This window comes from Homo sapiens, chromosome 16, assembly GCF_000001405.40.
Source record: "Homo sapiens chromosome 16, GRCh38.p14 Primary Assembly".
Taxonomy (NCBI): Eukaryota; Metazoa; Chordata; class Mammalia; order Primates; family Hominidae; genus Homo; species Homo sapiens.
In genome coordinates this window covers 66,552,336-66,579,159 of record NC_000016.10, presented here as the reverse complement: position 1 = coordinate 66,579,159, position 26,824 = coordinate 66,552,336, and the positions used below count along the sequence as shown (strand labels likewise).

Genomic DNA, 26,824 nt, shown 5'->3' with positions numbered 1-26,824 from the left:
CAAGGCAACGAGAGGAAGCAGGTGTTCTCGATAAAAGCAGCAGCCCTAATTTTATGGTCACATTTAGGCTGGAATGGGTGACAGCATGCGAGCTCGGGGGTGGGCTCGGAGGCAGCGATTCGACAGACACGTGCATCTGCTAGGGCGCCGGGCTGGCTTCAGGCGGGCCTCTGCGGGGCGTCGGGGCCGGTTTCGGGGTAGGCGTCCTTGGCGGGGGAAAGCTTCCTTTCAACTTCGACTCCCAGGAATCTTTTCAAGTTGGTCCTCATCTTCGTGGTGACCACAAACGCATCGATGCAACACACGATTACCGCTGTGAGACACAGGGACTGTCAGATACAAGACCATATGCGGGAAGGAAAGACGGGGTTATTTTGCAGCTCAGTAGCAACCTCTCGAACCTATCCCTATCCAGGGTGGGCGCTGCGGGTGGCCTCCTGTCCCCTCTGACCCTTCACTACTTTCTTGGCGCCTGCCCAATTGGCTGCTGCAGGCGGATTCTGCCTTTCCCAGAAAAAGGGATTTTGGAAGTGGGGGATTTTGTTGCCAGTAGTAGCCTCGCTTGATGTCTGAGGCACCCGGAAAGGACTAGGGAAGGGCAGTGGCCCTAGGTGGCTGCAGGTAGGGGTTAGGTCCTGAGAAGCCCTCTCCGTGGAAAGACTTTTGGGCTATGTTTGCAAAGGGCAGGAAGGAGTTCCTAAGGGGAGGAGGAGGACCCAGGCACTGGACTAGGGTCTCTAAGGAATCTGGTGTGGCCAGGACCTCCAGAGCCGCTGAGAAGGGGGCAGAGTTGAGGCTGGAGAGGTGCAGGATCTGGGACTCTATCAGGAGGTCAGGTGTGAGATTCAGAAAACCTGCTTGCAGTGTTCATGAGGTGAATGGAAGGTGAACCAGGCTGGAGGCAGGAAGACCAGTGCGTGGTGGGGTGGGATGCTGCCATCCAGGTAAGAAATGGATACCTGGGGGTGGGAACCCCTGGCAGTAGAAGGAGTGATAGCGGAGTCAGCCGATGGGGACCAGGGGCTGATGGCACAGATATTCCCCTGTGCACTCCGGGACTCTTGACAACCTTGGATGTTTCTCTTTATGGTCACTTAATTCCTGGCTGCTTAATGAGCTTTTCCTAGGTATGTCTTGCCCCAGTGAATCTGTGAGCTTCCCCAAAGGGGAAAGGGCTCTATCCCCAGCACTGAGCTCATGTCTGGCACAATCAATGGGATTGACAGATATTTATTGATTATAGAATGAATTCAAATGAACTCTTTTTCTGCATTAATTTCTGTTCTCATTGTTTAACTTCTTGAACCAAAGCCCTACCTCCCCTCCCAACCCCCTGAATCTTCCAAGCATTTGATCTGCCATTTCTTTTGAGTCCCAATTTGTCCCAGTCTTGTGGCCCAGAGCAAGGTATTTAACCTCAGTTCCTATATCTGTACAAATGAGAGTTGTAAAGATTAAGTCAGAGTGTGCCCTGCTTGGTGCAGGGCATATACTGGGCACTTCAACATGTGGCAGTTTCCTTCCTTCCTTTCTTCCTTCTTTCCTTCCTTCCTTCCTGAATAGGCTGGATTCCTCACTTTAGACAGTGCACTTTTCCCCCCTTACAATCTCTCTTATCATCTGTCTTTAAAATACAATTCTCTAGTCCAGAAAATCAAAGTCCTATTTATAGACAAAAAGATCTTGCTTAACATTTCAAAAATAGTGTCCACAATTCTCAAAAGGGGTTTAGCAGACTCTTGTTTTTGTACCTATTTGGAGAATGCATGTTAGAATTAAGATTTTCATGAGCTCAGAGTTTGTGCAACTTCATATCACCTGAAGAAGTCAGTGCAAGAAGGAGAGTGGGTGGCAGTGGGGATTTTGCTTGGTTAATGATATAATGGGGTCTGCCAATTTCCCTTTTCAAAGTCTTGGAATACTGATCTTAAATGGAGTCATGAAGGCCTCTACTTACCCCCCCGACATAGAGTAAATGCCTTCTTTTCTTTTCTTGCATGGCCAAGATGGCAACTACTGAAAGGAACACAGCTGTAATGATACTGTTGGTAAGATCCTGTAATAAAGAATTGAAAATTATCAAGTTTACACAACAATATAATTTCACAAATATTTAAACTGGTCAATTACACATCTAAGAATAGATGCCTTTAAAAAACCTTCCATTTGATTAAGATGAGGAGGAACCTTCAGAGGCATAATTCTTACATCGTCCAGAGACATGAGTTTATGTGGTTTTAAGATCCTAGATATGACTTTGTCTGTAGAAACGGGTTTATTTTCATTAAAGAATACCATTAGAAAAAAAGCTAACAACTTTTTCCTTAAAGGGAATAGGAAAGTGAGCATGAAAAAACCTGGTGGTCAAGGGGCCTATCCCAAATTGGCCCTCCATAAATGTGATTTTTTTTGGGAAGTCTTATATTTTTTAATGTAAATTCTGCATTCTATTCCATAACTCATTTGTTTTAATATAAAAATAAAATTTTAGATGAGCACTTTAATTATTGGTTTACTTCTTCTCCCAAATCTGCAGGTAAAGCCAACGCTCTGGAAATTGGGCCACATTTATTCTGTGAGTTCATGTGTCCCAAGAGCATATGAACTCATCTGAGGAGCAGGCCTGATATTCTGGAGTGAATGTTTTTTGCTCTTTCCTGAAACATGGCCAGAATTGGGTGTGCCCCGACATCTGCAGGCTCATTGTGCTCCTTCTTCTGGGTTTCAATTGGATTTCAGTCCTGAGTTCTTTTTTTTTTTTGAGACAGAGTTTCGCTCTTGTCACCCAGGCTAGAGTGCAATGGTGCGATCTTGGCTCATTGCAACCTCCGCCTCCCAGGTTCAAGCAATTCTCCTGCCTCAACCTCCTGAGTAGGTGGGATTACAGGTGCCTGCCACCACACCCAGCTAATTTTTGTATTTTTTAGTAGAGACAGGGTTTCTTCATGTTGGCCAGGATGGTCATGAACTCCTGACCTCAAGTGATCCACCCGCCTCGGCCTCCCAAAGTGCTGGGATTATAGGCGTGAGCCACCGCGCCCGGCCAGTCCTGAGTTCTTTAACTGCTAGCCCAACCTGCTTCTTTGTGTGCTGAAATGAATAGTGAGGATGAGTGCGTGGCAGTGCCCTCCTGGGTGAGCAGTGGCTGGGTTTCCTTAGCAAAACAATAATGGAGGAACGAGTACACAGTGTGTCAGTGGCAGCAGTGTATGGCTATGGGCAAAAGCCCAGAGGACATAACCACAATATGGGCCAGAGAGCTAATCTGAATAGCTCAAGTCTTTGAGTGTTGATGGTCTGCCTTGGTAATGGCAGCCTTTCTGGCACACTCGTCCAAACACAGCAAGAAGCACTGCCATCCAGTGTATGGTATCATGGAATCACAGTGGCTCCAATGGAGCTCTTTGATGTGTCAAGCATTTCCCAGTCCATCATTTAACCTCATTTAACCCTCACAAAGCAGCCTCCAAAGTCAGAATTGCCATCATCCCCAGTTTACAGAGGACATGGTGGAGGCTTGGAGTTTTTCAGTTGCCTAGGATTGAATAATGGGTGGAATCAGAACTCAACTCACTATTGCCTCCCATGAGGGACACCCAAATAAGGAGGAAATGAGCTATTCTCCCAGTCTGGAAGTGCAGCATCCAATCCATCTTTGGCATTTTCTGTGGAATGGGTCTGGAGGGTCAAAATGATACAGTACCAGTCAGTTGAGTATTTTTGTTGATGAACTCTTTTGGCCTGCCAATTCCTAGATTGGGCGTATTTTATCACCCATCTGCCAACTTGCTAATTTGTAATATGGGGATAATGACTGAGGTTCATTGGCTCTGAGGATTAAATGGCATAATGAATCTGAAAGCATCTGATAACATGCCTGGCATCTAGTAGCTGGTGGGAGTGCATCAAAATGTAGGTTCATATCTGCCCTCAAAATGTTAACAGATAGTAAACTCTCTGCAAACTCCAGATGTTCTTCCTATTGGGGCTGGCGACCGAGGAGCCCTCTTGTGGAATGTGACTTGCCTCTTGGAAAGGCACTAATGCCTACTGTTTTGGTGCCTGGTAGTTAATGCTGGAACAGGGGTATGTAGCAGGGCTGGTGGAGGTTGGAAGTAAGTCCCAGCTGGGTTCTGCAGGCTGAGCGAGAGGTCTGCCCATAGTGGGCAGGCCTGACTGAGGCAGGTACAGTGGTTTGCAGCTTTGCAGGAAGCTTACACCTGAGGATTGTATAAACCAAGGTAGTCAAAGATGTGAACAAGGATTCTTACAACTGAGAAGCAGAGTATAAACTTCAAAAGTCAAATATTCTTTTTTAAAAATTGCTCTCTGTTGGCCAAAATATCTATATAACCGGAGCTCAGTTTCTCTGACCACTAACCAGCTGTGGTCTTAGATTACAAGAATTTGAACAAACGCACATCATTAATGATAATAATAAACCAACCACAGACCAGGCCCAGCCAGTCTTTGACTTCCTGTCATAATTTTATCTCCTTGTTGGACTATGGACATTATAGTTTACTGTGGTCCTTACTTACAAAGAAGCGCTCTCCTGAACTGTCCATTGGAGCTAAGGTTTGCCTTGCATCTAACATTTCTATTGTAGCTAGCTCACATTTATTGAGCACTTACTGTGCCAGTGTGTTAATATGTGATCTCATTTGATTCTCACAACAAACTCTCATTATCCCCAGTTTACAGATGGGTAAGCAACTTGCCCAGGGTTGTTCAGCCAGTAAGTGGCTATGACCTTGGGCAGTCTGATTTGAGTGCCCATGAGCCTTCTTCCTGCTAACCTCCTCCCTTTTGCCTTAGACACAGACTCTCTTATTTGCCTCATCTGGGCAGAGAGACAGATATCCCTGATGGCTGTGTTAAAATTGCAGCTGAGCTTGGCCATGTGTGGGAGGACTTCCACTTTCCTCATAAATACCATCCTTACTTGTTATATTTTTCTTTCTCCGCTAAATACCTTATTGACTCAAGTAGCCTGCTCTGACTAAAATGAGAAATGTGTTTTTTCTTGACAATTTTTCCATAAAGCTTCCAAACTATTCTCTGAGATATTAAAATCATGTAGAATTATAAGTAGGAAAGAGAAAGATGCCTTAATGGTGAGTGCTTATTATTAAAAAAAAAAAACACTGAATATTAGGAAAAAAGTTAAACAGGCCAGGCACGGTGGCTCATGCTTGTAATCCCAGCACTTTGGGAGGCTGAGGTGGGTGGATCACCTGAGGTCAGGAGTTCGAGACCAGCCTGGCCAACATGGTGAAACCCTGTCTCTACCAAAAATACAAAAATTAGCCAGGCATGGTGGTACGTGCCTATAATCCCAGCTACTCAGGAGGCTGAGGCAGGAGAATTGCTTGAACCTGGGAGGTGGAGCTTGCAGTGAGCCGAGATCGTGCCACCGCATTCCAGCCTGGGCAACACAGTGAGACTCCATCTCAAAAAAAAAAAAAAAAAAAAAGAAAAACGTTAAACATGATTTGTTTCACAAAATGTAGTATTTGTAATAGGAATTTACATACAATGAATATTATCTGGTATTCAATTAACTGCAACTTTCATTGGTTTCATTTTTTGTTTTAGTTTAAAATGTTTATTCCTTTTAAAAAATTGCTTTCTGTTGGCAAAAACATCTGCTTCACCAGAACTCAGTTTCTCTGACCATGCTGGATTATATTCTTTATGATGTAGAAGTGTTTAAAATATGAGCTATTTAGAAGACAATAATTCAAATTCATAATTTCTTACGATCTTGGTACCTGACACTAGGCTAGAGTGGGGCGAGTTGGTAAACCTAAAAATGAAGAGCATGTGTGGGGTGAGGAAAATTGTACTTTTCCTAGCTTTGATGCAGACTTATGCTGGTAAAAATGGGTTTAAATTTTAAATTAACTTTATTTACTGATTTAATTCCACTCTCAAGTCTGCAGGTAAAACCAGTGCTGTGGAAGCTGGCACATTTATTCTGTGAGTTCACATGAATCAAGAACGCCAAGAGCCCATCTGAGGAGACCTCATAGGCCCTAACATAGGTTAGGGGTTGAAAGCAGGACCTGTGTCTTTCCCATGGTGTCAGGGTCCCTGGCACACCCTTCACAGCTGCAACTCAGAGACTGAGTATGGGTCCATCCTCTGTCCAGAGGAGGCGGCCTTGACAAAATATGGTCCCAGAGCCCACAGATCTGAGCAGGTCACCTGTATCTGCAGTAAGTTCTCTTTGGGGCTTCCCTGCTGAGTCCAAGCCCTGATGTATCACAGTCTGTCTCCCTGGTGGAGACTTTTACCCTCACCCCTTTTTCAAACAATAATCGGAATAGGGAAATAAGGAACTCTATCCTTTTATGAGCCTTTAAGTTAGAAATCGCCACTTAAAGTCAGTACTCCTTACCCTAATCCCATACCTCCTGGGAGCCAAGCCTTCTTGCCTGGAGGGAAGGGCTGAAAGGAAGTGGTAGCTGCATGCTGGGCACTCTCAGCTGTGGGCAAGCCTCTGAAGCTGTGCAGAGCCCGACTCAAACAGTTCTAGTATGAAATTGACCGTGTGTTCTGTGGCTTCCTGCACTGACCTTATCATAAGGTCCCAAGTGACTCCTGAAGCTTGATTCTAAGCCTGCCTACCTTCTGAAGTGCCAAGTCATCACCTCCTAGCACCAATACCCTCACAAAACTAGCACATTCCCTACTGTGCCAAGGCCTCCCAGTGTAGCTACTTGCCCCTCTGAAAAATTGTGTAGGTACACATCCTTCATCTCACAGAATCTGAAAGAGCACATTTGAAAGGAAGGGACTGGATAGGAGAAGAGAACACAATTTGGGTCCTGTTTTGATGAGTCTTTTTCAAAAACTTCCAAGTTAATTAAATCACTTACCATCTGACCAACTGTGTGGTTGCTCAGTATGTGTCCTGCTAGTGTGAACTGAACATCAGAATAACTGGGCAACCATCTTGGTAACAGAGAGTTTCCCCACCATGAAGCTCCTGGGAGCTCACAAGGCATATCCTGTGCTGTGCTAGGTCTGGCCCATGCTCTCGAGGACAGTAGCAGGAAAGGACAGGGGCTCCGAATCACCTCTGGGCTCCCAGTCATCCCCAAAAAAGAGGATACTGTCACTTAAGACAGACACAGCAAGGGGGCCTGGCTTTATTGGAGTTGACCAAAGGCCTGTAACCCTGCAAGAGCTGGGCTGAACTTCCTGTGACCACTGTGAGAACAGGTTCTCTCATAGGACACTCACGGTTCATGCTCAGGAGATCCTAGTTCTTACCTTTGTCTGGGATACTTCTTGGGCATTACCACTGAACCCTACAGCAAAGTATGATGTCTCCTGGCCCTCTCCAGCTTTATGTGTGGACCCAGCCTGCATGAGTCCATTTCTCAGAGGGCTCTGATCCTCCTGACCACAGCTGATGGTGCTGTGGAGCCATCAGTCACCCACCCCCAAGGGCCTGTGTACACCCACCAGGATAACCAATTCACCTTTGGTGCTGTATTTTAAGAAAAGCATGAGGAAACAAGATACAGAGATAAAATTTAGAGAAGCTGAGGAGGACATAAAGACATAGTTTCACTGAGTTTCTTACCTTAATGGAGAATGGAGATAGAAAACCATCACAAGATAATAGGTTGTAAAGTCTGCAAAGAGTCTGGGCTTTAGAGTCAGATAGACCTGGGTGCATATCTGAGTTTCTGGCACCTACATATGGCTACTGAATTGAATTCAATTGGCAACTGAATGTCTTTAATCCAATTTTCTCATCTGTTAAATGAGGGGTGAGGGGTGACCATAACCTCACTGGGTTGTTGTGAGGATTAAATAAGGTGACATGAAAAAGTATCTGGCACATGGTATATGCTCAAAAATGGTTACTTTACCTTCCCTTCTTGAAAATTTCCACGGACAGAGATTTGAGTTTCCCCTGAGAAACCTCTCCATAACTAAAAGGGTCTTCCACATGTTCAATTAAAGTTGCTCATATTTGCTTTGTCTGCTTCCTGTACTCGGCATTCTGTGGGACAGAGAGAGCTCAGCAGCCTTTGAGAAAATCTCTCACAGATTTGAAGACAATGTTTGAGTTTTAGCTCAAAAGGAACATTCTGACTTTAAGGTTAGAAAAATGTTCTATAAGGAAGTGGGATGTGGAAGAGGCCTAAGCTCTGAATTAGGATTGTTCACAGCGCAAGACAGAATGGCAAACGCCACCCAGCTATCTGATGGGTCTGATGGGTGGCTGTTCTTTTTGGACATTAGAATATTTAATTTGTGTCACATACTATGTTATTGGCTTTGCACACATTTAAATGTTTCAGGAACCCTATGAGGTAGTTATTATCATACTTTTCCTTCTCTGTATTTCTTAAATGGGGAAACTGAGGCTAAAGGTTACATAGCTAGTAAGGTGGCAGGACCAGAATCTGGGCCTATGGCTGCCTCTGGACAAAACCGTACTGCCTCTCTAGTCTGAGACCTGAGGGGTTAGCTTTAGCAATTGTTCAGTTGGCAAAGAATGTGAAAGTCTGGGAAAAGCTATTAAAGAAGGCTCTGTAATGTCTTTTTCTGGATAGTCCGGCACCTCTTTGTGATATGGACCCTAACACACACACACAGGTTGACTACAATCTTTAAGTGTATGCACGGCAATTTTCTACAATGCCATCATATCAACTTTTGCTTTTGGGGAGAATGTTTATAATCAGAGTGCTCTCTGCAAAGTAGAAGCATGCACTGTTGTACAAGCAATGGCTGAGAAATGTGCTTACCTACTTTATATACTAAGTATATATATTTTTTTAGGACAAGCTGAAAAGTACCATGTGTCTAGTGCCATAATGAGGGGTTTTACACTCAGGGCTGGAGCAGCGGTGTGTTGGCTGTCCTGCAGGCACAAGGGTTCAAGGAATCCTTCTGGACCAGGGCAACACCCTAACTGTCACAGCTCAGCTATGTCCTTGTCTAGAGAGATAGCTCCGTTGTTTTCACTTAAGGAGAGCCCTTACTCTGGGGCTGAGGGCAAAGCTTGGATTTGAAGAATTGTAAAAATGAACACTTACAAGTAAGGGCCAATGTAAATAGGTCAGCAAGTGGTGAAGGGTTAGCACATATATTAGAATAAAAAAAACGACAATGCAGATTTCCAGACTTGTGATTGTTATAAATGACTCATTGGCTTGGGTGATGATGAAACAAGCTAATGCTCCTAAGATAAGACTCTGCAATAAAAGAAACAGGATTTGTTTTAATGCATGATTTAAAAAAATCTACATTGTCAGAATGTAAATCTGATTATATCACAGTACAGTGGCCTGTATTGTTTTGCACATACATTTTTAACATTTCTTACATTTTGAAGAAATGAAATACATGAAAATAATAAAAAAAGCACACAGTATAGAAGGATAAAATAATACCAATTTCTTTCTCTTCCCCCAACCCAACCTTAGTCTCTCTCCTTAAAAGTAACCACTATTAACAGTTTATATTTCATACTAGAAAGAAGTCTGTATATATACTGGTAAAGTACATATACATTGATTTTGGTAGAAACAGTGAGGAAGAGCCTCAGTTTTCTTTCTTTCCAAACAGCTGCTGATTATCTCAACATCATTTATTGGGAAATGCCAGTATTATCCCTATTGATCTGAAATCCAACCTTTATTGTATACTAAATTCTCAGATGTAGTTCGGTCTCTTGAGACTGTTCTCTTCCATTGAATTGGTGCTTCCTTCTCTAGTACTCTAAGTTATAGACAATTCACTCTATACTGAGTTATTGTTTCACCTAGTCTTCCTCTTCTTACTCATTCTCAGACTGTTTATGTCTCCCATGTTTGTGTTGGTCAAGTTCCCCAGACTAAGCCTGTTGGCATTTTAGTTGGGATTTCTAAATGAAATACTTACTTATAATTTGGAAAAATTACAGAATTTAGTTTTTCTCAAGAACAAAATATATCTTTCCAGTTATTTTAGTGGTTTTTAAAAAATATCTCTCAGGAGAGTTTTAAAGTTTTCTTCCCATATGTGTATCACATTTCACTTATTTTTAGATATTTGATCATTTTTGATGACTGTTGTAAACAGAAATATTTTCTTATATTTTAAGTGGTTATTTGTCTAGGAAAGCTTTTATTTATTAACACAATAACGAGTCACCTGACTAAATCATCTTGCTCTAAATTGTTTCCAGTTGATTTGTTTTTTTCTAGATATGCAATTACATTAGCTGAAAGAAAGCATATATTTTACCTCCTTTTTTTTTTTTTTTGAGACAGTCTTGCTCTGTCGCTCAGGCTGGAGTGCAGTGGTGTGATCTCAGCTCACTGCAACCTCTGCTTCCTGGGTTCGAACAATTCTCCTGCCGCAGCCTCCCGAGTAGCTGGGACTACAGGCGCGTGTCACTAAGACTGGCTAATTTTTGAATTTTTAGTAGAGACGGGGTTTCACCATATTGGCCAGGCTGGTCTTGAACTCCTGACTGAGGTTATCTGCCTACCTTGGCCTCCCAAAGTGCTGGGATTACAGATGTGAGTCACTGCGCCTGGCCACCTCTTTTCAAATATTATTTCCCATTCCTAATTATGATGACTAGTGGTTTCAGAAAAAATTGACTCATGGTGTAGGCATCATTTTTCCCCTCATTTAATAAATAATACTTCTGATATTTAATTAAATATGCTGACTCTTAGTTTGAAATGTTTATTTTTACAATGTCAATGGAATATTTATATACTCCTATCTTACTGGTCTCCCTTCTTGGCAATCAGGGACAAATGTTGAATTTTGTCACATGTTCTGTGACATAATCTCCTAATTTTTTATAATGTGATAGATATAATCTCATTTTCACTTTTACTTCTAATACAGTGAATTATTTTAATAGAATCTTAATATTGAATCATCCTGTTTCTTTCTTGTGGTATTGTATTTTCAAAAAATACTGATGAATATTATCTGCTAATAGATTGACATTTTGTTCTGATGCAAGTGAGATCTCTACTTCGTTTTCTTTTTCTGAACTCAGTCAAGTTTTCCTATCAGTATTATACTGATTGTGTAAAGATAGTTCAGAAGTTATTTCTTCTTTCTCTATTCTTTGACAAAGTTAGAGTAGTGTCAGAATTATATCCCATGAAGGCTTGAAAGAGTTAACTTGTAAAAAGGTCTGGGCCTGATACATTTTTGAAAGATACTCATTTGCTAAAATTCTCATTTTCTTCTATGTTTATATTGCCCTGTTTAGATTTTTCCCTATTCTGGGATCAGTTTTGGTGATTTACATTATTCTGGAAAATCAACCATTTCATCCAATTATTCACATCTATTTTGCAAGGTACTCCTGTAGATCCTTTCAGTTTTGCTGATGTTTGTGATTATTTTCCCCTTCTGGTTTCTAATTTTAAATATATGTCTTTTCTTCCCCCTTTTTTTCTTGGTTGGCCAATGGCTTATCAATTTAATAGGACTTTCAAACGACAGCTCTTGTATTGACTGATTCTATTATTTTTGTTTCCTAACTTATAAATTCCTATTATCTTCATTGCTTCCCTAATTTCCTTTGTGAGAGGAAACTGAACCAACCCAAATGTCCATCAATGATAGACTGGATAAAGAAAATGTGGCACATATACACCATGGAATACTATGCAGCCATAAAAAAGGATGAGTTCATGTCCTTTGCGGGGACATGGATGAAGCTGGAAACCATTATTCTCAGCAAACTAACGCAAGAACAGAAAACCAAACACTGCATGTTCTCACTCATAAGTGAGAGTTGAACAACGAGAACACATGGACACAGGGAGGGGAACATCACACACTGGGGCCTGTAGGGAGTGGGGGACTAGGGGAGGGATAGCATTAGGAGAAATACCTAATGTAGGTGACGAGTTGATGGGTGCAGCAAACCACCATGGCGCGTATATACCTATGTAACAAAACTGCACGTTCTACACATGTACCCCGTAAGTTAAAGTATAATAAAAAAAAAAAAAAAAGAAAAAATAGGGAAAAAAAGAGGCAAGTTTAGTAGGAAAGGTTTAGTGTGTGGGGAGCAGGGGGTGGTGGGGAGGAAAGGTGAGGCAAAACAAAGGTGAGTGGCAAAGTGAATTATGGAAGGTTTCTGGAGCTGGCACCCCGTGGGCATTTCCCCGAGGCCACTGCCGGCCACATCCGCCCAGCTAGGTCTCACCAGCTCTCCGCTCACCAGTCTCAGGATCTTCAACATTCCAGTGGGCGAGAAGGAGAAACGTTTGAGGCTGTCCCTGAATTTGTACGGGACTTTGGCTCGGCCCTCCACGCGCTCTTTGATCGCCATCTCATTTAAGAGTTTGGATTCAGTGTGTGCAGAGGGCGTGGGGGGTGGGAGTGTGGGCTTTGGGGGTGGGCGTGTGGTGGCTTTCCTTGAGGGTGCGGTGCCCTCACTGCCTTGGGGACGTGCGGCGGCTGCGGACTGCGCACTGCGAATTGAGACTGCGGGGTGCTTCCGGGGTGCGGTCTTCGCTGAGATGTTGCGCTGTGCCTTGGGTACAGAACTCACTACGCTGCCGCTACTTGCCAGGGCTGCGGCAGTCTCCGGTTGTTTCAAGTTCCCTGAAGGTGCCTCGGATGACTCAGGTTTGGCGTGTTCAGGATCCATGGTGGGTCCCTAGGGCCTGGCCGTCTGAACCAGTGCCGCGGCAGCGGCTGGCTCTCCCCTGGGAACCAGCGTCGCGTCCCAACGGCTGTTGGCTACCTCCCCGGCGCGTGCACCCGGCTCTCGCTGCCCCACCGACAAGCCGAGCCCTTCAGCCACCCTCATTGCCACAGGGGGTGCAATGCCACCGCCTAGCCCGAGAACTCAAAATCTCTGCAACCCCACACCTCGGAGCTGCCGGCCAGCCAGGCAGTAAAGAGATTCAAAGATCCCTGAGGCGGATCCCGGCACATTCTTCCCTGCCACCCAGGCCCGGGTGCCGGAAAACCCGATCCCGCTGCTCCCAGCGCTCCCTTGGAAGTTACAGTAGTGCTCTGCGCGGGGTGCAGACTTCGGAAATCTCTTCCTCTAGCTCCTATACTGAGTTAAAATAACTGCAGAAAATATGTGGAAGAATACAGAAATATGTTTAATACTTAGTATCAAACTAAAAAGTAATATAAAATTACAAAACTTCTTTTTTTTCATGCACAGGCTTTTTCTGGTAAGGACCGCTGGGATTGAACAGAAGCTTCCGGTAAATAAGGGCCCCGTCGGCAAGACAGCATACTGCTGTCACAAGTGCAAACACCTGGAAAGAAAGACAAGTGTCACTGCCCTAACCATGGTCCCCACTCCTGTCATTCACACAAGTTTTAAGTGGTCTGCCCACCAGATTCCTCTCTTGCTAGGGTACTCGGATTGCTCCCTGTGCTTCATCTAATACTAACATGGAGAGACTTCAGAGATCATCTTATTCTCCTCATTGCTAAGTTTTCTAAATACTTGCCTATAGAAAGAGAAAAGATAATTTAAGTGAGCAGAAAAATAATAAAGCAGTGTGGGCTCTGAAATCCATACTTGTTTGCTTTTATCTCTTGACCTGCTCTTGCATGTATTCTTTTAAGCCCTACTGAGGATATTTAGTTATTAATATTTCTAACCCCAGTGTTCAACTCTGACTTCTCTACTGACAAACTCTACAGAAGAAAAGGTCAAAGTTAACACCAGCTCAATATTAAATCATGGGGACTGTAGCTCCAGAAAACTGGAGTTAATAAGATGATCCAAAGTGAACTCTCAAAGGCTAGGCTACATCTGCTTAAAGGGTGAGATTCTAAATAGACCTTAAGAAAGTAAAATTAGATAAAAACAATAACTAAGAACACGTGGGGGCCTTCAGACACTCTGATGGCTATCTGAGAGCTGGTGCCTGGGGTGGGAGAGGGGGATGTCATTCCTTGCATGCTGTTTGGTCAGCTTCTTCCAGTCATCAGGAAGTTTGGCTTCCTGGCTCCAGACATGGCTCTCACAGTCTCCTTTTCCACCCAGAGTCTCAAGCCACTGCCTCCTAGGTTCTGACCACACTGAATACCTCCTACCAATCTTTTCATGACTGGCACTCTGTACACTATTGGCTCCTCTACCTGGAACCTTTTCCATTTTTTTTCCTTTATTCTCAGCAAACAGCAATTCCACTGCCAGAGAGGTAGTTTCCTCTTTTCTGCACCATGCAGCTCCCTGTCAACAGCTTATATACAGCGGTTTCCACTTGTGTCTCCTGTGTTAAGCTCTAAGCAACTTGAGGACGGGGCTCACACTCTAGTCAGTGCTGTCTGAAAGCAGCATAATATGAGTCACCAGTGTAACACAGCCACATAATTAAAGATTTTTTAACAGCCACATTATAAATGTAAAGAAAAAAGTCGGCCGGGCGCGGTGGCTCACGCCTGTAATCCCAGCACTTTGGGAGACCGAGGCAGGCGGATCACGACGTCGGAAGATCGAGACCATCCTTGTTAACACGGTGAAACTCCGTCTCTACTAAAAATACAAAAAATTAGCCAGGCATGGTGGCGGATGCCTGTAGTCCCAGCTACTTGGGAGGCTGAGGCAGGAGAATGGCGTGAACCCGGGAGGCAGAGCTTGCAGTGAGCTGAGATAGCACCACTGCACTCCACCAGCCTGGGCGACAGAGACAGACTCTGTCTCAGAAAAAAAAAAAAAAGAAAAAAATAAGTCATAGATTTTAATATATTTAGCTCAGTATGTCTAAAATATTATCATTTAACATGTAATCAACAAAGTTATTAACAAAATATTCTACATTCCTTGTTGGGGGTAATAAATCTTTGAAATTAAATGTGTATTTTTATACTTACAGCTGATCTTGATTCAGACTAGCCACATTTCCAGTGCTCAGTAGCCCCATGTGGCTAGCAACTATGGTTACTATACTGAATAGCACAGCTCTATATTTTGTCAGCCCCTGCCAAAGTACACTTAAGAAATGAGTAAATGAATGAATGAGTAAAAAAGTGAATGAAAGTAAATCCTATGCCTGGTCCTTCCTTCTTCACAGTAGAAAGATGAGTATTATCTTCAAAAACAACTGGGGGAAATTGATACAGAGCTATCTCATTTCTAGAATAATTCTGACTCCTCATGAAGTTGCTCAGGGCCTAAGGGAGATGAAAATCATGGCTTCTGACATATATGGCTGAGAGTTCTCCTAAGTGACCCATACTATGAAAGAACATGGAAGTAGGAAGATTTATTTAAGAACTTTCTAATTCAATTCTCTAGGTCAGAACCTAGAAAAGCTAAATGATTTTGAACCTTGTATGAGAAATCTTAGAAGAATATCAGATAGAACTATAACTAAATTACTTGAGTCATATTCTGGCTTGCTTTCTAGGATGAGGTCTGATGGAATTGATCTGCTTCTCTTCAAGCCGGGTTCAAAATGATCCTTTAGTTGCAAGGTGCCCTGCCAATGTTCTCTTACCGTAAGGACATCATCTATTATATTCTATCTGAAGGATCTGAACAAGAAATAACTGAGCTCAAAACAGTCTGTCTCATCTTAACAAATGGTATGTATCCTTTTCTGTAAAAGGGAGAGCTATGAAACTCATCCATCCTTTTGTTTTGTTTTGCTTGACATCAGGTTTCTCAGAGCTAAGTGCTGTAACTGATTCCAGTAGCTTTTGTCAGTCTAGTCTAGCCCTACGTACCTATAAGAAATCTGTAGGAACCCCTTTATTGGGTTAATTCTGCTTCTAGTATAAAATCATACTCCTTCATGTTAATCAGGGCAAGCATTCACAGACAAAAATATTAAGCCACTAGGCATTGTATATTGGCCTAGGAATCTCAAGGATGAATATAGTATAGCTTTCTATTCTTACATCTGTTTTCCAAGTAAATTTGCATTCTGATAAAACCTGAAGAAAGCAAGCAGAAAGACTTCCACTTACCCCTCCACCAACTGTCAATGTTGTGGTTTCTGGTATCAGTGCCAACACAGATACGATGAGCATGAATACTGTTGTTACCAGTGAGTTGATAATATCCTAAAAACACACAATAAAGCTGAGCCTTACATGAAGACTACCAAGCAATGCTAAAAAGGAAAAACAAAAAACAAAAAAACAACAACAACAAAAAACAAAGTCAGCAGGCAGAATGCACTGGCTCCCGCCTGTAATCCCAGCACTTTGGAAGGCAGACAGATCACTTGAAGCCTGGAGTTTGAGACCAGCCTGGCCGACATGGTGAAACCCCGTCTCTACTAAAAAAAACAAAAATTAGCCAGACATGGTGGTGCATGCCTGTAATCCCAGCTACTCGGGAGGCTGAGGCACAAAAATTGCTTGAACCCGGGAGGCAGAGGTTACAGTGAACTGAGATCATGCCACTGCACTACAGCCTGGGCAACAGAGTGAGACTCTGTTGCAACAAAAGGAGTCAGCTTCCTAAATATTTTGAAAGTTTCATTTTATTAAACAAATTTATTTAGCATCTATCTTTCAGGAAACCAAAATGTCACAGTAAAATGATACCTAGATAGTATCTGGTCTATAATGACACCTAGTGGTTTTCTTTTACCTGTGATATGCCAATCATTTACTTAAAAAGCTTTTTATTTCTTTTTTACTTAACATAAATGTAGTTGAAGGGAAAACTCATCTGATTAGGAAATAAAGTAGATGATGTATTATGTAGAAAGTTTAAGGTAGAAGGGGTGCCATGGGAAGTAAAAATGCTCATTTTTAATAACGTAAGAAAATGCAGAGTAGTCTACATTGTATATCAAACTTTAAGTTACTAAATGCAATTAATGCTGGGCGCTGTGGTGCATGTCTGTAATCCCAACACTTTGGGAGTTCAAGACCAGCCTTGCCAACATGGTGAAACTCTGTCTTTATTAAAAAATACAAAAATTAGCCAGGCATGGTGGTGAGCGCCTGTAGTTCCAGCTACTTGGGAGGCTGAGGCAGGAGAATTGCTTGAAGCCAGGAGACGGAGATTGCAGTGAGCCAAGATTGCACCACTGCATTCCAGCCTGGTGGAATTTTTTTTACTCCGTCTCAAAAAAAAAAAGGCAATTAATAAAACTTAAAATAGCACACACTTAAGAGAAAGTGGTAATTTTCAGGAAACCCCCACAGACATCTCTATGCAATGGATGACCAATTATGTTATTATTGCTGATGATATAGCTCATTCGCTTAATACTTTTACAAAGTAAAAATCAGTTTCATTCTTAACTGTGATGTCAAGAAGTGCAATTTTACATTTTTAAAATGGATGTGTAGCGTGGGAAAGGTAAACTGTCTAGCTGAGAAAGGTTTATGTATGTTTGCAGATAACCACAGGCAGGAAGGAATAACCCAAATAGCAAACTGCAAAACCCTGGTAATTTAGAAAAGCAGTTATTAGAAAGAAAGTAGGAACAGGTTCAATGGGGGTAGGGCAAGATCAGATATACTTAGGAAGAAAAAAGTTCTCATTTGTAGGAGATACTGAGACAACTATTCTAGGTTAACTCTCTTCTGTGTTGGATATTTGCTCTGCTTCAAAAGGCAACAGACCACACTCCTACTTCAGACAGGCAGCCTGCCTCCTGTGAGCAATCTGGGCAAGGGTTTATAGATGGCTTTGGATCAAAGTGGTGTTCTAGGGAGTGCAGAGAACCACAGGGGGAAAAAAAAAGATATGCCTGCCCCGAAACACCAATGATCCTCAAGAGTAATTTAGACCATTTATTTTATATTAAAAATGAAAACATCTATATGCCACAGAGTAGAATGTAAACTTAATTACAAAAATAGGGATTTCAAAGGAATTCTGAGCCTATGCTTAGATACCTCCTCAAAGCCATGGGTTGACTGGCTTTTTGTGTTTTCTGTCATTTGGGGCTCTCGGGGGGGAACAATCAGAGAAGGCCTGCTCTACAGACTGTTATCAGGGACAACAACTTTGGGACAATTTGAATGGAGATGACCAAGCCCTCTCCTAGTTAGCAAAGGCAGTGGCTAGCAGATGGAGGTACTTCTAAGTTACCTTTTCCCCACCTACAGATTAATTGGAACAGTCAGCCATCTCTGTGTCCTACACTTTAGGTAACATCCCCAGGCAACTTCTCCACCTGTGCTCTGGCTCCAATTCTACTCTGCAGGGACCTCACTCTATTCATTACTTTTATTTGTCCCTGGCCATATTTCCTCAGTTCAGAGATGACCCCTCTAGTTGTCTCTTTCCTTGCCTGCTCAGTCCTACAACTTTCCTGTCACTTGCCCACTGGAGGCAAACTCCTCTGGAAAAGGTCACCAGGGGGCAGAGAGAGAGAGAAAGTGTGTGTGTGTGTGTGTGTGTGTGTGTGTGTGTGTGTGTATACTTATCTTTCTGTTTAAATGTGTCCATTCTTCTTGAAATGTATTCCCATCTTGGCTTCGGTGACACCAGTCACACTTGGGTGCTCTCCTGCCTTTTCTGGCCACTCCTCATCTCATATGTTGGCGTTTCCCAGTTTTACCTTCAGCTCTCTCTACACTCTCTCTGAGCTATTGTGGCCAGTCCGAGCTCAGTTAATATCACGAGGTGATGATTCCTAAAACGGCAGCTCTAGCTCCTCTTAAGTTTCACACCATTTCTGAATATCTCCATATGAATATCTTTTAAGTAACTAAAATCTAGTATTTATCAAGCTAAACTCATTACATACTGCTCTCCTGCACCCTTCCTTAAACATATTCTTCCTCTCTCAGTATCCTCTCAAGACATGGAGGCTGATCATCTGATCATGCTACTCTCCTACTTAAAAACCTCCAAAAACTCCCATTAGCCTTTGGGTTAAAGTCCACAGCACACAAACCCTTGTATGCCCTGACCCTGTTTTCACAAACCTCACTCTTGCCCCAGCTCTTGTTCACAACTCAATACCCAACCATTCAGATACACCTGCAGGTCCTGGAGGGTCATGCTCTTTCTCCACCTAGACCCTCACATATGCTGCTGCTTTTCTAGCAGAAAAGCACTTTCCCTTCCCTGTATCAGTCATCTGCTAACTACGTTTCATCCTTCAGCCCTCAGTTTGGGCACTTTTTCTTCACAGCCTACTGTGACTTGGTCCCTTTCCCTTGCTGGGTTGCATCCACGCCATCCTAGGTGTATATCTCTCATAGCACCTATATTCTCTGTGTTGCTTCCTGGGTGCATTTAAAGTTTCTGAGGTACAAGGTTTTTGTTTTGTCTTAACCAAAGAACCAATTACAGAATCTAGGATTAGCAAATACTTAACATTTGCTGAATAAATAATTTCATTAGATCAAGATCAGAAAGGATTCTGGGTTTCGTAATGGAGCAAAAACTTAGTTACCCATATAACACCCCATTTCTAAGAGATACAATATCAGTAAAGTTTGATCCTTAGAGATTTGGGGACTATTCCTTTCAGTGTGCTACATATAAGCTACTCTCTCTCAGTGTATTCTGTTACACTCCTGGCTCCCAGTTTATTACTGGGACATGTAAGAAACTCCAAGGAATTATGTTTGGAAAAAAAGAAAGGCTAAAATGTGTTAGTTTTATTAAACTCTAGAGAAGCAGAGTGTGAAAAGCAACTATACAAGACCTAGAGGATGTGGACCAGTGTTCATTATCCTCTTGAAGAAATCTTTAGAAAAATTTAGTTTAACCCTTTCTGCCACTAAATGAGGGCCAACTGAGGAAGACTTTGTAATCTCTTCTCCTAGACCTCCCTCCAACGAAGTCCAGCTCTGAAGTGTACATCAAGTAGTTTTGAGAGGAGAGGTTCTATGAAGATCCTATTTCCCAGCTTTTCCCTTTTAGGACTTTTAAAAAGCTTATGATTTGCCTGAAATGCTTGCCACTGGCCTTGAAGGTGGTTCCAGAAGGTACCATTTAAAGGCATGCTTATGGTTTAAGAATAGCTCTAAAGTCTTTTCTTGTTAATAGGAATTATCAGCTTGGATATTAGCACTGTGGCATCCAAGAGGATGAGACCACTGCAGCCAAGGAAGACATGGCAGCAATCAGTCCAGCCAAAGAGGAGAAGGGCAGCAGGGGGATTCAGGAGGGAGACCTACAGAGACAGGATGCTGGGAATGAGACTTGCAAGAGGACAGAGGAGAAGTCACTCAGTTTTTCTTAGAATCAGCTTCTAGTCCAGGCTGAGGGGCTGCATACATCTTAACGAATAACTTCAATCTGCCCAATTTGACAGTTTTCAGAACCATCTGGGCATTCCACTGGGCAGTTATTCCTAATTATATGAGTATGGCAGGTTACAGTCTATATACTATGAAATATAAGAGGTGCCAACATTATTTAGTAATAACTACAGATATTTTCAAGTGAGATAACATTGTACTTTAGCCTCCCCAATTAGTTTGATTTTCCATTTAGTGACCAAAGATGTGCAAGGATAGATACTTGTGTATCTGTCTCCATCTCTATCCCAATTTTGAGGCCATATTAACATGCATCCAAATAGGTAATAAAGATTAAGAATGCACTACAATTTTGTTAACATGGTCCTAAATTTAAATTTCTTTAGAAGATCTATCCAAGTGAATTCTAACAGAAGCGTCAGCCACATCTACTGATAGATGGTGCAGAGAACTTATGCTCTGTGGCTGCCCTGCATCCTTGAGACCCTCTCCCAAAGCAATACAGGGCACATTAGCAATGGGTAGAGCTCCTCCTTCCTAAGCCTAACAGAGATTACCTTAAAGGTTTAAGAGAAGCAAAAAACAGAGTTCATTAGAATATCTCACTATGGTAGGAAAAAGTAAAATTTAAGGATGAAACTGAACACTTACAAGCAAAGGCCAAAATAACCACTTCATTAATCGATCAAGTCTGAGTACATATAAAAGTATGAAAAATAAGATAACGGTGACTTCAAATCCAGTGATAACAATATATGGTTCAGGGGCTTGTGCGATGATAAAAAAGGTCATAGATGTCACAGTTAGTGCCTAGAAGAAAAAAACCCACGATTTATTCAGTGACAACTGAATACAAATTTAAACTGTAAAAATGACAATTTCTAAAATAATAGGCTGGGCACAGTGGGTCATGCCTATAATCCCAGCATTTTGGGAGGCTGAGGTAGGAGGATCGCTTGAAGCTAGGAGTTCAAGACCAGCCTGGGCAACATAAGGAGACCTCATCTCCAAATAAACAAAAATAACCAGATACTGGGGTTTCTGCCATATACACACACATATAAAACAGCCATGCCTAAAGTGTATGATATTGACTTCTCTTTGTCTTTTAGAGGACTGGGTATTCCTCTCTGTTTTAAGTCCAATTAATTATTCCTCTTGTGCTTCTGACACTATCACTTCCCACATCAGTTCTCTTGATGTTTTTCCACCAAGTACCTCCGTTCCCCCTTGTACTTTCAATCTGTCCTCTGCTAGCTCCTTTTCTCATCATCCTAGAAACATCTCAGTTGTGTTCTTTTAAAATACACACACACATACTCCTTCCTTTTATCCTGCTCCCCACAGAAACCCTTGTTCTGTTTTCTACTGTTGTTATGCTTCTTCAAAAAGTCTGTATACTGGCTGTCTATAATTTCTTACCATCCATTTATCACTCCTTAATTCTTAACAATCTGGAGTCTACTGTCAGATTTAAACTTAGAATGCTGCCATGAAAAATACTGAGGAGCAAAGTTCAAAACAAATTGTCAGGGTGGGCGCGGTGGCTCATGCCTGTAATCCCAGCACTTTGGGAGGCCAAGGCAGGCAGATCGCCTGAGGTCAAGAGTTTGAGACCAGCCTGGCCAACATGGTGAAACCTTGTCTCTACTAAAAATACAAAAATTATCCAGGTGTGGTAGCAGGTGCCTGTAATCCCAGCTACTCGGGTGGCTGAGGCAGGAGAATCGCTTGAACCCAGGATGCGGGGGTTGCAGTGAGCTGAGATGCCACTGCACTCCAGCCTGGGTGATAGAGCTAGACCCTGTCTCAAAAACAAAAACAAAAAAAATTGTCAGAGAAAAACAATTCTGATGTTTAATAGCTTTATTACCAAAGTACCATTTTTTACACACCCCACCTAAACAATGCAATCAGAATCTATGCTATTTTAAGTGGAAAAAAAAACATAAAAAACTCTGAAATTTCTTCATTTCCAAATGAAGATACAGAACATGGCAATGTTAAGTGAAAAAAATAGCTGGTGGGTCCCAGGGGAGTTCTGTCAATGTTCTTAGGAAATAAAGCTCTTTCCAAAGCTCTGTGTTTTTGGTAAATGGTTTGGTCAAGAGTCTTCCCTGGCTAGACTTTTAAAATATCCTGTCAGCTGGTAACATATACATACTCATTTTAAGTCCATATAGGTTACTTATTCATAATTCTTCCAATTACTTTATTAGCATAAATATGCCTTTCTTTTAAACTTCTAAACTGATCAGTTTGATTACAAATAACTAGTTACTAAGTAACTTCATTCTTTATAATTAATATAATTACTATTAGCAACACATAATCTCAAACTACTCCAATTACTCTATTGGACCAAGGTCTTCAGCCCACAGATTATGAAATGAAGGGCCACTTTTTCAGTCCCTATCCTCTGTAACCTTTTTCATCATGGTGATTTGCACTGGTGATTACTCCATTTCCTTAAACCTTTCTATGGTTTCTGTCAAACTGTGTTCTCCTGTGATTTATATTTACAGTTCTTACATCTTTCCTAAGCTCCTGGCCTTTGTTTCCAGTTATCTTTTACATATCTCACTAATAATATTTCAGACATTACCACTCTATGGATATTGCTTTTGCTAACATCAGTGATTTCAGAAATACTAAATTTAATGAATGCTTTTTTCTTTTTTTCCAGTACTTTGAGCTGCTGTTTTACAATGAACATTTTTCATTCCTTATCCTAGTGGACCCCTATGACGTTATTGCCATTGGCTGTCCTTCCCCTACTAGTGTTTTCTTTTGGCTCCCGTGTCAGTTCTCCGAGATTTTAAACCTCCGCGACTGTTCTCTCTTGGTGGGTTCTTCTCCTTTTATTCTCCCCTGTAAAATGCTGTCATTCTCATTCCACTCAATGAGTCTGGGTCTCTAACCCAGGTCCATTCTCCACATTTCACACCAAGTAGCCATTTAGAATCCCTATCTGGATAACCTACAGGAATCTCAATTCACCATGTCTAAAACTGAAATCCCGCCCCTTCCTCCTGGATTCACAACCTCAACTGGTGGTACCACAATCTACCTTATCACCCATGCCAGGAACCTAAGATCACTGTTCCTACCCATTCCCCAACTGATCAATAATCGGGTCCTGCTAACTTAATGCCTAAACATTTTGGGCACTCCCTCCTCTTCATCCTTACAACTACTGCCTTTCATCGTCTTTTCCATGAACTATCATGATGAAATTTCTAACATGCAAATTTGTTTACGCATTTCTTCATCTATTTAAAATTCTTCAGTGGCTCTCCAGGGTCTTTAGAGCCTGCTTCTCACCATGTTTTCAAGATCTTCCACAATTTGGCTCCTGTCTACTTCTTGAGAAAAGACTTGCTTCACAATTTATCCACATGAATCAAACTCCTGATCCTTTTTTCACATTTGCTTTATCAATAGGCTGTCTCATCTCAGTGGATGGTGACTCCATCCTTCCAGTTGCTTAGACCAAAAACTTCAGAAGCTGTCTTGGACTCCTCTTTTTCCCCACATCTGGCTCATCAGCAAATCTTGTTGGTGCTACTTTCAAAATATTACATCCCAAATGTGGCCACTTCTTATTACCTGCTTTGCTACCACCAGCCACCATCATCATTTCTTGCCCAGATTACTGCAATTGGTCTCCTTGGTTTTACCTTTGCCCCTGCAGCAATCCCCTTCTGTCCTTCCCTACCAATCTACTGTTAACATAGCAGCTAGTATATTTTTGTTTGTTTTTGAGACGGAGGCTCACTTTGTCACCCAGGCTGGAGTGCAGTGGGGTGATTTTGGCTTACCTCAACCTCTGTCTCTCCGGTTCCAGTGATTCTCCTGCCTCAGCCTCCCGAGTAGCTGAGATTACAGGCATACGCCACCATGCCTGGCTAATTTTTTTTGTATTTTTAGTAGAGATGGGGTTTCACCATGTTGGTCAGGCTGCTGGAACTCCTGACTTCAAATGATCTGCCTGCCTTGGCCTCCTAAAGTGCTGGGATTACAGGGTGAGCCACCGGGCCTGGCCTAGTATACTTTTAAAATGTAAGTTAGATCATATACTTTACTTAAAACCTTCCTCATCTTCACTCACTCACCCCAGTCCAGTTACGCTGGTTTCCTTGCTCTTTCTTGATGCCTTCCCACACATTCCTGCCATAAGGCCACTGCACTGGATTTTCTCTGCTTCAAACACTCTTCTTCCAGGTATTCTCATAGCTAACTCCCTCATTTCACTCAAATCTTTGATCAGATGTCATCTCAACAAAGCCTAGAATTCTATTCATTACGCAACTTTTCTCTGCAACTCCTTCCCCGCCTTACACTCCCTTACCTGGCTTTTACTTTTCTCGTTCCACTGCACGTACCACCTTCTAGAATACTAAAATTTATTGTGTTTGCTTCCCCTGCCCTCCCATCCCAATAATGTGTACTCCACGAGGGCAGGGATCTTTGTTTTTTTTCACTAGTATTTTTCAAGAGCCTGGAATAGTGCCTGGCACATGACAGGCATTACACAGATTATTTGTTGAATAAATGAGGTAACACTCAACTTCTTATATTTCTCTGCATCAATTGTGCTATTTTTTGCCTCCATGCCTTTACTCAGGTGGCTCTTAGATCCAACCCTAGATTGCTCTAGGAAGAGCTTTTTTCTGACACCTCTCCTTGGTTAGACGCCTCGCTTCTGTGTTCTATCTCCATCTTATCACATATCTTAACTATCTGCTCATGTGTCTGTCTCATAATTAAACTGAAGAACTCCATGAGTCAGGGATTTTTGTCCTGGTTCGTCTTTGCTGTTCCAGCTCCTAGCCCAGAGTTTGGACCATATTAAGTATTCAAATGGTTTGTTGAGAGAATTAATATATCAAAAACTAACCATTCTCACAGGACCATTCTCACATGGTTCCCCCTTCAGTGTTCAAGATCTTTCCTTTTTCAGTGTTCAAGATCCCAGACCTTCTGGTCACTTTTGCCCTGAGTATTTACTCCCAATCAAAAGTTATTTCTCCTTCCCTCAACTCCAGAGTGGTTTCTAAACCTCTTATGTATCTCAACTTACATGATATGAAAGCTACTTCTCACAATCACAGACTTTTGGTGTGAGAAGGATCTTATATGCACTTTGTTCAACCCACTCACCTTAAGTTTGAGTCTCCTTTATAACATCCTCACCAAGTGCTCACATATGCCTGGTACTTTTGTCTGGGAATGTACTGCCTTCCCAAGTGGCCATTTAGTTTTGGGAGCTCTCCCAATATAAGATTCCTCCTCACATTAATTGGAAATGTTTTCCTTGTAACTTTGAACTATCTCCATTTTGCCTCTCCCATGTCAACTCTTTAAAACTTAAAATGATTTATTTTTTCCTTCCCTGTAAGGTTTCTCTGTGAATTCCTCCAATGATGAGTTTCTAGAATAGATTCCTTCAACTAGGATAGTTTCCACTTCTCTAACTAGCTAGGTCACTTCTCTCCAAATGATCAACTTCCTCCAAACCTGTTCAGAAGTGACTGCAGTGCTCCCGGTAGGAAGTCTGCTCCCGGAAACGAGCAGTTCTCTCCTTGTCCTGGTTCTGGGCTGTATCAGCCTTGAACTCAGTCACATCAAACGTCTGTCTCACGGAAGTCCACACAACATTCACCGAAACCCCTGAGGCTTTTTTTTTTTTCTTTCAAATCTTGTGGGCTTCTGAGAGGTATAACTGCAGTTGTCTCGCCTGGTAACCTGGGTACCCGGTTTGTGGGTCCAAATGTAGACCATTTGGGTAGATCTGATTTTTAATTTAAAAAAAGGGTTTTTTTTTGTTTTTGTTTTTAAAGAGGCAGGACCTCTCTGTCGCCTAGGCTTGTGTGCAGTGGTGCGATCAACGTTCACTGCAGCCTCGAACTCCTGGGATCAAGCGATCCTCCCGTCCCGGCCTCCCAAAGTGCTGGGACCACAGGTGTGCGCCACGGCGCCCCGCCCTCTCTGGTTTTCATGAATGAGTGTGTCCCTAAACCCTCCTAAGGGGAGGACAGTGCCGTATCTCTCTCCTTCTTCCCCAAGGAGGCCATGCCTTGCCTTTCAATCTTGATCAAAGCGAGGTTGAAAAGCAAACAGGCGTTCAGCTTTGCACTTCACACCCACATCTCCCGCCCCCCAGCAGCTTCATCAGCCTCCCGCCCTCCGCGGCCCGGCCTCACCAGCCGCAGCATCTTCACGTGGCCTTTCACACTGAAGCAGAAGGGGCGATGTTTTATTTTCGGCTGCACGTTATCCATCGCGTCTGCAGACCCAGCAGCAGCACTTTCCCTCAACTCTTCTCAGCTGGCTGCCTGAGTAGGTTCTGCGAAGCGATAGCAACCGCCACCGCGGCGGAGCACCGCCCTCCCCTACTTCTCGCCCAGCTCGGCTTCCCGCTCTCTTGCGCGCATGCGCACGGCGCCGCGTTCGCTCTCGCGCATGCGCCCCAACGGGATCCCGCGGCCGTCCGCTCTGGCTTGTGCTGTCTTTCAGTTATCGCGTAGCACATTAGCGGACCTAGAGCTGGGCACATATTAGCGGACCTAGAGGTGGGCACGCAGGCCAGCGCCCTGTTAGCCCGCCGTGTTCTGGCCTGGCGTTAATGACGGCAGCACTCCAGCTCTCCTGAGGAGTCTTC

General features: G+C 42.8%; 3 protein-coding genes across 16 annotated transcripts; all 3 read right to left on the bottom strand.

Annotated features, from left to right (window-relative positions):
• Positions 1 to 24: 24 nt before the first annotated feature.
• On the bottom strand, positions 25 to 12,721 carry CMTM1 (CKLF like MARVEL transmembrane domain containing 1). 8 transcript variants are annotated; one of them, NM_052999.4, is made up of 4 exons: positions 12,215 to 12,721; positions 9,066 to 9,224; positions 1,958 to 2,056; positions 25 to 329 (listed from the first exon to the last, which is right to left on the bottom strand). In NM_052999.4, exons 1-4 carry the CDS (start codon positions 12,644 to 12,646, stop codon positions 159 to 161), a joined length of 861 nt encoding a protein of 286 aa, NP_443725.3. In that variant the 5' UTR covers positions 12,647 to 12,721; the 3' UTR covers positions 25 to 158. The 8 variants fall into 8 exon arrangements, with proteins under 8 accessions (NP_443725.3, NP_851785.2, NP_851786.1 ...); NM_181268.3 differs by having other exon boundaries at positions 25 to 313; NM_181269.3 differs by having other exon boundaries at positions 12,566 to 12,721.
• On the bottom strand, positions 25 to 26,584 carry CKLF-CMTM1 (CKLF-CMTM1 readthrough). Of its 3 annotated transcripts, none has more exons than NM_001204099.2 (4): positions 26,367 to 26,584; positions 20,812 to 20,970; positions 1,958 to 2,056; positions 25 to 329 (listed from the first exon to the last, which is right to left on the bottom strand). In NM_001204099.2, the coding sequence occupies exons 1-4, from the start codon at positions 26,442 to 26,444 to the stop codon at positions 159 to 161; spliced, it is 507 nt and encodes a 168-aa protein (NP_001191028.1). In that variant the 5' UTR covers positions 26,445 to 26,584; the 3' UTR covers positions 25 to 158. The 3 variants fall into 3 exon arrangements, with proteins under 3 accessions (NP_001191028.1, NP_001191027.1, NP_001189438.1); NM_001204098.2 differs by lacking the exon at positions 20,812 to 20,970 and adding an exon at positions 15,943 to 16,038 and having other exon boundaries at positions 25 to 313; NM_001202509.2 differs by lacking the exon at positions 20,812 to 20,970.
• Positions 12,873 to 26,597, bottom strand: CKLF (chemokine like factor). Of its 5 annotated transcripts, none has more exons than NM_001040138.3 (4): positions 26,367 to 26,584; positions 20,812 to 20,970; positions 15,943 to 16,038; positions 12,873 to 13,077 (listed from the first exon to the last, which is right to left on the bottom strand). In NM_001040138.3, exons 1-4 carry the CDS (start codon positions 26,442 to 26,444, stop codon positions 13,069 to 13,071), a joined length of 342 nt encoding a protein of 113 aa, NP_001035228.1. In that variant the 5' UTR covers positions 26,445 to 26,584; the 3' UTR covers positions 12,873 to 13,068. The 5 variants fall into 5 exon arrangements, with proteins under 5 accessions (NP_001035228.1, NP_857592.1, NP_857591.1 ...); NM_016951.4 differs by lacking the exon at positions 12,873 to 13,077 and adding an exon at positions 13,092 to 13,274; NM_181641.2 differs by lacking the exon at positions 15,943 to 16,038 and having other exon boundaries at positions 12,873 to 13,274; positions 26,367 to 26,597.